At 44.6% G+C, this 10,964-nt stretch overlaps 2 annotated features.

The window, feature by feature from the left end:
- Positions 8,824 to 9,631: an enhancer, noted in NCBI's record as "OCT4-NANOG-H3K27ac hESC enhancer chr16:51214879-51215686 (GRCh37/hg19 assembly coordinates)". NCBI's record gives its function as "activates a minimal SCP1, AML or CMV promoter by ChIP-STARR-seq in primed H9 embryonic stem cells {active_cell/tissue: H9 hESC(primed)}" and the evidence as "EXISTENCE:reporter gene assay evidence [ECO:0000049][PMID:30033119]".
- Positions 9,632 to 10,439: an enhancer, noted in NCBI's record as "H3K27ac hESC enhancer chr16:51215687-51216494 (GRCh37/hg19 assembly coordinates)". NCBI's record gives its function as "activates a minimal SCP1, AML or CMV promoter by ChIP-STARR-seq in naive H9 embryonic stem cells {active_cell/tissue: H9 hESC(naive)}" and the evidence as "EXISTENCE:reporter gene assay evidence [ECO:0000049][PMID:30033119]".

Here is a 10,964-nt window from a genome sequence, read left to right on the forward strand (position 1 = left end):
CACAGTAGGTACTTGATAGATTTACTGAATGAATGCATGCACATTTCTAGACTCCTGAGTTACTGTAGATTCCAGAAGCTACTGCCTTTCTATTAGGATTCCAGAAATAAGCCCTCAACTTCCCCACCAGGATGGTTTGTTACCAAATGGGGATCTAACACTTTTTTTTATAATTGAGGTCAGAACTGGCCAGGAAAGGAGAAGCTGGGATTTATCCCTAATTTCCCATGGGGATCTGGCACCAGTGCAGCTCACAGGAGAAGCAGGGCTAACCTGCAGAGGAAACTGTCACATAAACTGTCAACAGGTATGTGTGGCAAACGGGGTGCGTGGGCTTGCATCTTAAGGACTGAATGCGGCTGAGTCCTCTGGAGGATGCCAGCACCGTGGAGATGCAACCAGGACCTGAAAGCATTGTCAGAGTGGCTGGAGTGCTCCCCAGCACTGAATAGGGAGGCAGGCAGCTTAGAGTGGAATCCTGGGCTCTATGCCAAAATGCAATCCAATGTTTTTGGAGATTCAGTAGGACAATAAATTAAGGCTGAGGTGAGGCCGTCAACAGGAGAATCTTGTTTTGTATTCCAGCTAGTTATTCTTTAATCTATTATCACATATATGCATTTAGAGACAGCCCGCTACCCAGGCTGGAGTGCAGTGCCATGATCATAGCTCACTGTAGCCTTGAGTTCCTGGGCTCAAGCGATCTCGCTGCCTCAGTTTCCCAAGTAGTTGGGACTACAGGTGCCGGACACCACTACCAGATAATTTTAAATTATTTTTTCTGTAAAGATGGGGTCTTGCTGTGTTTCCCAGGCTGGTCTTGAACTCTGGGCCTCGAGTGATCTTCCTGCCTCAGCCTCCCTAGGTGCTGATTTAGGCATGAACCACCATACCTGGGCCATTCATATATTTACTGTTTTATTTATGTTTATGGAAGTCACAAGATTCTCAGCAGTCAATTACAGCATTCAAGAATGATCTCTCGGCCGGGCGCAGTGGCTCACGCCTGTAATCCCAACACTTTTGGGAGGCCGAGGCGGGTGGATCACTTGAGGTCAGGAGATTGAGACCAGCCTGACCAACCAGGAGAAACCCCATCTCTACTAAAAATACAAAATTAGCCAGGCATGGTGGTGCATGCCTGTAGAAACAGCTACTTGGGAGGCTGAGGCAGGAGAATCGCTTGAACCTGGGAGGTGGAGGTTGTGGTGAGCCGAGATCATGCCATTGCACTCCAGCCTGGGCAACAAGAGGTAAACAAAAAAAGAAAGGATAGTTTCTCTTCTAAAGAAGGATCCTATGTTATTAAATCCAGGTCTTTCAAACTTTTTTGAACCCATCCTTAAAAAATACCTTTTCCGGCCGGGTGAGGTGGCTCACGCTTGTAATCCCAGCACTTTGGGAGGCCAAGGCAGGTGGATCAGGAGTCAGGAGATCGAGACCATCCCGGCTAACATGGTGAAACCCGTCTCTACTAAAAATACAAAACATTAGCCAGGTGTGGTAGCTGGCGCCTGTAGTCCACCAGCTACTTGGGAGGCTGAGGCAGGAGAATGTTGTGAACCTGGGAGGTGGAGCTTGCAATGAGCTGAGATCATGCCACTGCACTCCAGCCCGGGTGACAGAGCAAGACTCCATCTCAAAACAAACAAACAAACAAAACAAAAACAAACAAACAAAAACAACCTTTTCCATCAGGATCCAGTACACATGAACAGATATATTACTGGAACAAGAGTTTCAAAGAAACAAAACTTGACTGTAATATATGTGATGCATTCTTAATATAGTGGTTCTCAAAATGGTCTGGGACCAGCAGCCTCAATATCACCTGAGAACTTATTAGAAATGCAGATTCTTGGCTGGGCGCCGTGGCTCATGCCTGTAATCCCAGCACTTTGCGAGGCTGAGGTGGGTGGATCACCTGAGGTCAGGAGTTCGAGAGCATCCTGGTCAACATGACGAAACCCCGTCTCTACTAAAAATACAAAAAAATTGGCTGGGTGTGGTGGCAGGGGCCTGTAATCCCAGCTACTTGGGAGGCTGAAGCAGGAGAATCACTTGAACCTGGGTGGCAGAGGTTGCAGCGAACTGAGGTCATGGGCGATAGAGGGAGACTCTGTCTTAAAAAAAAAAAAAAAAAAAAGGAAATTCAGATTCTTGGGCTCAACCTCAGGTAAGCTGCATCAGTCATTCTGTGAGATTTACCAGGCCTTCCAAGTGATTCTGATACATGCTAAGTGATTCTGATACATGTATGATACATACATGCTATGTAGTAAGGAGAACTACTACATATCACAGTATAGACTATTATTCTAATCTATTTAATTAAAAAACCGAGCTATTGATTATAAGCCACTACATTTGGGGTTAGCTTAAAGGCTACCTAAAAAACCTCTGAAGTCCTGCCCAGTTGTTTTCCAGCCTCCCTCTCCAAACTCATCTCAGACCATCTGCCCTTCATAACCTTGCTCTAGCCAGCTTCAGCCAGACCCACTGCTTTTCTGGTTCTTAAGCCTCCAGCCCTTTCTGCTCCTGAACCTCTGCCTGCAGTGCAGCCCTGCCTGGAGACCTCTTCTCCCGGCTCTTGGGTGGATGGCTCTTGCTCAGTGAAGAGTCTTAGCTCAGATGCTTTTCTTCAGAGAGACTGCCCTGGCTAAATTGGCCTCAGCTGGTATATTTTATTTTCATCATAGCCCTTAGCACAATTGATCATTGTCTGCCTCCAGTTGAATCTCATTTGCATAGAACAATGCGTGGCATGTAGTAGGTCCTCAGTAAATACAGTCACACACCACCTAATGACGAACCACATATATGACACTGGTCCCATATGATTATAGTTCCATATTTTTACTGTACTTTTTCCCATTTAGATTTGTTTAGATACATAAGTATTTACCATTGTGTTATAATTGCCTACAGTATTCAGCACAGTAACTTGCTGTATAGGTTTGTAGCCTAAGAACATTAGGTACACTACAAATCCTGGCTGTGTAGTAGGCTGTACCATCTAAGTTTGGGTAAGTATACTCTATGATGCATTTCTCAGAACGTATCTCCGTCATTAAGTGATGCATAACATGACTATATTTGTCAAAGGAAAAAAATGAATGAATGAGTAATTCTCAACCCAGAATACTCCCCTGATGAGTGTTTTGAATCCACAAATCCTTGGTGACCCCTCCTAGTGACATGGCCTTTCCTCCCTCCAGTGAGAAACCCTGCCACTGGAGGGTTTTTCTTCCCTCCAGAAGAAGGAAAGAAATATTGAGAATTCCCTCTCCTGGATGCGCCTCTCTAGTCCTCCACCATTCCCTGTGTGCAATGTTTAAATCAGAGAAATGTACCACCTGGGTGCAAGGGAGGGTTCAACTGCAGCCTGACTGTTTTTGGCCTTGGGTAACTTACTAAGTGCCTTTAGGCCCAGTACAGCAGGGGTCATAAAACCTGCTCAGGCTCCCTTGTCGAGTTATCAAGGATCACATAGGATAGAGCTTATGAAAATGCCAAGTATTACGAAGAATTCACCAACTTAACACCTAAAGTATTGACCCATAGACCACATTCACAGCGCAGAGGCACAACCTTCCTGATATGGGTTGGGTGTTTGTCCCTCCAAATCTCATGCTGAAATGTGATCCCCAATGTTGGAAGTGGGTCCTCGTGGGAGGTGTTTGGGTCTTGTGGGCAGATCCATCATGGTTTGGTACCATAATGCGTGAGTTCTCACTCTGTTAGTTCATGTGAGAGCTGATTGTTTAAAAGAGCCTGGCACCCTTCCTCTCTCACATGTGATGCCAGCTCCCCTTCCCCTTCTGCCATGAGTGGAAGCTTCCTGAGGCCTTACCAGGAGCAGATGCTAGTGCCATGTTTCTTGTACAGCCTGCAGAACCATAAGCCAAATAAACCTTTTCTTTATAAATTACCCAGCTTCAGAAATTCCTTTCTAGCAATGCAGATGGACTGAGACACCTCCTAAGGAAGTTGAGAGAGCTTGGGCATGCAAGTCCACAATAGAGCATGCAATCACGAAAAAACCTGCGTGAATTCTAAAATGAGCCCCTGAGCCATAGGGAATAACAGGGGGCTTTTAGTGACTTGCATAAGGATTTTCACACTGTTTGCAAGTCATTTAGGGCAGGTGGGCATGCATCATGATCCATAATACTCTTGTGCTCCCTCTTCCAGCCATCTTTGGCCCCTTTACCTTCACATCTTCCCTGCTGGAACCCAGCCTGGAAAAATGGTGAGTTGAGCTCCCCCTGGGGGGCTCCCATGGCTGTCCCCTCCTTCCAGAGGCATATATGGGGGTAAATGTGGGCCTGGAGAGATCCTGGAACATCGTGCTGTCTCATGGATGGCAGGCCTTCAGCGTCACTGAGCGTTCACACCTGAAACCATTAAAGGTTATTCGCCTTTTAATTCTGTATGGTTGCTCTCACTCCTTCCTTAGAGAAACCTCTGATTTTCATTTGCGAGACGCTCGGCTGAGCTTGTCATACCCTAAAAGGTGATTTCAGTTCTCCGATGCCAAAGAACCTCTTCCGCTAATCAAAACACAGCTGCAGAGGCCTGTGTGATCTGCTAATGGGCACCCCAACTCTGGGGTATGTCTGTCTGTACCTGGGAAAATAGATATAATTAGGATAACAGATATCATATGTATATGCAAATGCAGCAGGTAAAAATGACTAGAAATGGCTGGAGTTTGCCAAATCCCATCAGACCAACTATGTAGCTTAACCAGACGCTAACACCATCACCACCAGGCCTTCCCCAGTACCAGCCCTGGTGCCCTTGCTTCATCTTCTTTTCTCCACCGTGCTGGAACCCTCATGCAAGTTATTTTTATTTCTATTTTTTTATAGATAGGGTCTCACTCTGTTGCCCAGACTGGAGTGCAGTGGCACAATCATGGTTCACTGCAGCCTCAAACTCCTGGGTTCAAGTGATCCTCCCGCCTCAGGCTCCTGAGTAGCTGGGACTACAGGCCTGCACCACCATGCCCAGCTAATCTTTAAATTTTCTGTAGAGACAAGGTCTTGCCATGTTGCCCAGGCTGGTCTTGAACCCCTGGCCTCAAGCAATCCTCGCACCTCAGCCTCTCAATGTGTTGGGATTGCCTATTTTTATTTTTTAATATAACAATAGATCCCCATAGTTTTCTGAAGAGGCTCTTTCAAGAGCTTCAGGTCTTATGAGGCTGCAGGGATCCTAGCATCTGAGAAGCCAGTGGGGGAAAGATGGACAATAGAGAGGGCCTCTTCAGTGTTTTTCCTTTAATGAGGGTTTGATCCCCTCAATGACAGCATCAGGATTGGAGAGGACCCAGTGCATCATTACCAAGCCCAAGTTGCCTTTGCAAAGAGAACCACCCCATAAGGATGAGAACCACCCCAAACCTTCTTGTCTGGAGTCAGAAGGCTCAGGCTGAAATTCTGTTTCTGCCTCTTCCTTGTGGTGTGCACTTAGGCAAGTGACTTACCTCTCTGTGTGTTGTGTTCTTCACCCTAAATGGGCACAATAACAGCACTCACCTCAAACGGCCTGCAATATGTAAGCTCTCAGATGATGTTTTCCTTTGTGATAGGTGCATGGGCAGGTGAAGAGAGTCAAACATCAGGCCCAGGGTTCTCACTCCACTGCATTACTCCATCTACCTGCCCACGGATAAATCACTTCACCGTTCTGAGCCTCACTTTCTTCATTTGTTAAGTGGGCTAATAATGGATGGATGTCATAGTGCTGTGTAACAGTAAACAACAACATGCCATTAAACAGAAGCTAGTTATGCATGTGGAGTAATGATGTCTGCATTTTTGGGGACTGCCAAGTCTGATAAGATTGAAGAGCATCTCAGCTGGGCACGGTAGCTCATGCCTGTAATCCCAGCACTTGGGGAGGCTGAGGCGATGCTCTGTGTCTGATAGGGGTTAAGGAAGTCATCACTCCCATCTGGTCTATCAAAAGGGCTGCAAAACTATGCAGGCAAACGACCTGGGCACTGCCTTTATCGAGCTGTGCAGCCATTGAACAAGGGCATCCAACTTCACCAAACTAGGAAAGCCTGCATGTGCACATCCATCTCTGCTGTTGGGATTGGGGCCTATGCCTGTTCCCATTCTGTATGCTGTGTGCTTGACACAGTGCCTGGTGCATTACGTGCTCAAGAAATATGTATTGATTGATGGATGAATAAATGAAATCATCTGCATCCGTGGATGAATAGATGGTCAATTACATTGTCAATTTTCTACCCTGTGGGTGGAGTGGAAAAAGCAGTCAGAATCTTGGTCCTTTTGCAAATGGTGGAAAAGGACAATATTTGTAGAGTGTGTACAGACTTTGCAGTCAGAGCCATGTTCAATTCTCAATATTGCCGTATCTTAGCAGTGAGCTTATTCAAACGTCAGTTTAAGAAAATGTGCTAACCTTCAGCTTCCTCATCTGTAAAATGAGGATAAAAATATTGCCTCCTTTATAAAATTATTGTGTAGATGCTATAAATTTGTACATGCCAGGGCCTGGCATGTTACCAAATAGAAGGTGGTAGAATGGAAATGAATCTCCTTCTTACTTCCCCTCTGCACTACACAGATTTCAAGGATATTGTTTTATACCCAGCCAAGTCTGAAGCACTGGAAGTGGATCCGATCTTTTACCTAACTCTAGCATTGATGTTTTTTATTCTGTTGAAGGCATCAATATTTGTTTAATAGTATAAATCTTAAATAAACATCTAAACTACATATTACAGATGATGAAAGTCATTTCTGCACAGAAGATTATCTCACATGATCATGTTTCCTTTGTTATCTGAGGCCTCTGTAGTTGGCAAATCTCTGCAGCTACTTAAATGATAACATTAGTCCTAATGCCATGTAAAATGACTAGTTCCTCAGGGTAGGTTTATTTTTAATAGTGTATGTCAGCAGCAAATAGCTTGGAAGACCCCAGAGGAAAAAGCACAGCTCAGGCTCTCACTGAAGCGATGATGTAGATATATTTAATATCTATATTAAAAACCTTTTAGGTGCCATGGTGATATTGAATTGGATAGTTAGGCGTGTGCAGGGAAAATCCTGGGCTGTTTATAGAGCATGATGGAGTGTGCATTCTAGAAACCATTTGAGGTTCTTCAAAGTCAAATTTGGGCCTCAAAAATCTTTGAGAGACATTTGACCCCAGTAGTAAAATACTCTGAAATACAAGCTGGGAGAATAAAATCACCTCCTTTTCTCTTTCTTGATATGCCCGTTGATAAATTTGCTGCGCTATTAAAATGTTTAATCACTTGCCTCCAGCAAGAGCAAGCTTCTGTCTGAAGTTGCAATTTATTAGAGTGCCCAGAACATACTTGCTGTTTACCCAAAAGATGGCCAGGGGATTCTTACAGAGAAAACAAACCACAATTTGAAATCAAGCATAGAGTGGCAGATGAATGGATTGAAGGCTAAAATTATTTTGGAGTTGATTTCAGGGGAGAGATGATAAAACCTGCACTGATTTTCTATCCCAAAGGCACAGGGTTAAATCATACAGTGGCCACAGGTCTGGCCTGTGAGATATCCCTGGGACAGTTGGTAAAAGTGGTGCCTGGCCTGTCTTGGGGAGGGGAGAAGAGGCAGCAGAGGAAAGGGCTGCTTGCTAGAAGCATACCTTCCAAGAAGAGGCATTTCTCTCTGCTTTAGGGTTTGGTCAGAGAAGCTCAGCCTGGAAGGACAATGAACAGATAGGTGTCTGGTTTCAGCAGAATGCTGTGCCCAAACCCTCCTCCCTCCTTCTCTTCTATGGACCTCACTCTGGCCTTTCAGACTCATCCCAGGCAAACTGAGTCATGGGGCAGGGAAATGCCTTCAAGACAGTGAGCATCATTCAGTTATGGCACCTGAAGGCCTCTTGCTAGTGGCACAACACCATGGACCTAGCCCTTGGAGGAAGTGGAGTGGAGGGGCCCCTTGGAGGGCCATGGATAATTAACTCCTTCCAGAAACTGGTATCCAGGACTATGCCTCGGAGGGCGCCTACAGATAATGAGCCTACCATCAGGTCACAATTTTCTAAACACAGATGTGTAAAGATATAAGGAATTTCCTGTTTATCATCCTGTCTTTGCCTATACAAATTCCTTTTTAAATCTGCATGATTGTATCCCAAACCGGGTTATAAAGAATAGCAGATATTCTGGCAGAAAAGAATACTACGGCTTAATAAATTTGGGAAATACTGCATGCCTTGAATCACCAGATACAATGGCATATTAATGACTCTCCTATGTCCTGAACTGAAAAACTAGCAAACGAAACTGGTTTCACTCTGTTTCCCCCAGTGTTTCTTCAAATAGTTTGGCTATGAACTGCTTTCTTCACAGAACAGCTATCATCATCTTACCTTTGTGGAAGGCAGTTTGAGAATTGCTGTGTTACGGTAGGCAGAATTCTAAAAATGCCCTTGTTTCCCCCAAGATTCTCCTCTTCTGTTGACTCAATTGAACATTAACACAAATGCTGCTGAGAGGGAATTTTGCAGATGCAAATAAAGCCCTAAGTAAATCGACTTTAAAATGTGGAGAGTATCTGGGTGAACCTGACCCAATCAGGTGACCTCTTAATTGAAAAGGTGAGGATTTGATGTTCCTTCTGTGGCTTTGAAGGTGGAGGGAACCCCATGAGAAGGAATATGAGCAGCCTGGAGAGGCCGAGACCAACCCCAACCCCCAGCTGACAGTGACAAAATGTGGATGTCAGACCTGAAGCCACAAGGAACAGGATTCTGTCAACAACTGTAAAAAATTGGAAGCAGAATATTTCCCAAATCCCCCAGATAAGAACCCAGTTGGCTGACACTTTGATGTTGGCCTTGTGAGACTCTGAGCAGAGTCCAGGTGAGACTGCCTGGACTTCTGACCTATAGAATCGTGGGATATTAAATGGATGTTGTTTTAAGCTGCTAAATTTGTGGTAATTCATTTCGCAACAACAGAAAACTACTACATACTGATTCAGAGAAATCAAAACAGAAGTGGTACACTCTTCTCTACCCTTTTACATTCACAAGGTGTTTCCAATGTAACACTCATATATGGTGAGGGCAGTTGTCTCTCTTTTTACAGGTGATGATATAGACTCAGAGAGATTAAGTTACTTGCCCAGGACACTCATCCAGGAAATGGGGGAAGAGGACTTGAATGGGCTTTTTTGTGTGTGAGTTAGGATGGGGTGGGGGCGTGTTTCCTTTACTGTCTTTTGCATTCAAATAGGAAAAGGCATTTGGAGAGACTGCAATTGGGAGCTTGCAAAGGAGGATGAAAAAAAAAAATTCAGGGAAGAACACATCAAGCAGCAAGTTCAACTGCTTCATCAGAGAGGTCCTTTCTTTCATCTCTTGTGTCTGAGCAGAAAAGCTGTTAGAAAAAGGACCTACAGCTGTGAGCCAGTGACAATGTGTGGGGGCAGGGTCTTATGAGGCCACCGGAAGTGGGCTGCTGGGATGCTTTATATGGACAACTAAGGGCGAAGACACGCAGGCCTGTAATATCAAGAGAAACAGTGTTTGCAGGCTGACCTCCCAGATGGGTGGTTTGCAGAGGTGGGGCTGCCTGCATAATTAATCAGCTCTAGCTTTCTTCGCCACAACTAGCATTCCTACCTGTACCCATAGCCCTTAAGGGGCCCCTCACTCAGTGTCATGGAGCAGCACAAGTCATCTGGGACCACTCCCCACTAACCCCCACGGACAGAAGTGGAGACTGAAGCCCAGAAAAGGAACAGGACTTCCTCAAGGTCACAGTCAAGGATCCCCTAACATATGACAATTCTCTGTGGTGGTTAGTGATGGCTTCCTGATGAGCCAGTGTTCATTACTGAGCAAATTGTGTGTGTGTGTGTGTATGTGTGTGTGTGTGTGTTTTGTGTCCAGTATGAAAGTCAGAACTGTGAAGTGTTACTATTGTCCTAATAATAATAGAAGTCAATACCCATAGAATAGATACCCAGTGCTTGATGCTGTCTTGAAAGTGCTACGTTTTAACTCCATTCTCACAGCAAGCTCATGAGGTAGTCGGGAAATCATTAGGGTTCTTAACAAATGTTTCTGTCCAGAAGTGGATCCAGGTTTTGCCGAGCTTAAAGCTTATCCAATTTGTGGGGACCTCTTGAAAGAAAGGAATACCAACTTACAAATATAAATTAGGCACAGGGTCCCATGAAAGAGAAGAGCTTGGAAGCATTACAGTAAGTCTGTTAGTTGCAAGTTAATGCTCCCTGCCCCTTGTGAAGTTAGGCAAGAGCATGTAACTTACTTTGGCCAATGGGATGTGAATGAAATTGATGTGTGCCACTTCTGGGTGGAAGTCTTAAGACTTAGTGAGTGATTCTCCACTTTGTTTCCTAACCCTGACTCCCATGGTCCCTGGATTGACCACGGAAAAGTGTGCCAAGATGGAACCTCCTTTGCCCTGGAACTCTGAGTCTATGATATCTAGAGCAACCTCTCTCTTAACCCTGCCCTGTGTCAACTGGCATGAGATATGGAGTGTAAGAAATAAACTTTCGTCATGGTAATTCACTAAGATTTTGGAGATTTTTTTTTTTTTAACCACAGTGAACCTCGCTTAACCTAACTGATATAGGCAGGGTCTTATTATTGTTTCCATTTTCCAGATGAGAAAATTGAGACATAGAGAGATTTAGTTACTTGCCTGAGATCACCCAGCTAGTTAATGGTAAAACTGGAATAAATGGCTCAGTGTCTTTGTTTCTAAGTGACATTAGGGAATGGTGGGGACCAGCAAACTGAAGGTATTTGTTTCATCTGAAGACTGCTTCTGACTTCCTGCTGATGGTTGTAAAAGAGGAATGTAGGCCTTCTTTGCCAGATCCTCTGATTTTTTTTTTTAAGCAGAGGCCATAAATCCAGCATTTTAATGTAAAACCAACCGATAGAAATATTTTCTTTTT

The sequence above is a fragment of the Homo sapiens genome, chromosome 16 (genome assembly GCF_000001405.40).
Source record: "Homo sapiens chromosome 16, GRCh38.p14 Primary Assembly".
In the NCBI taxonomy this organism is placed as follows: domain Eukaryota; kingdom Metazoa; phylum Chordata; class Mammalia; order Primates; family Hominidae; genus Homo; species Homo sapiens.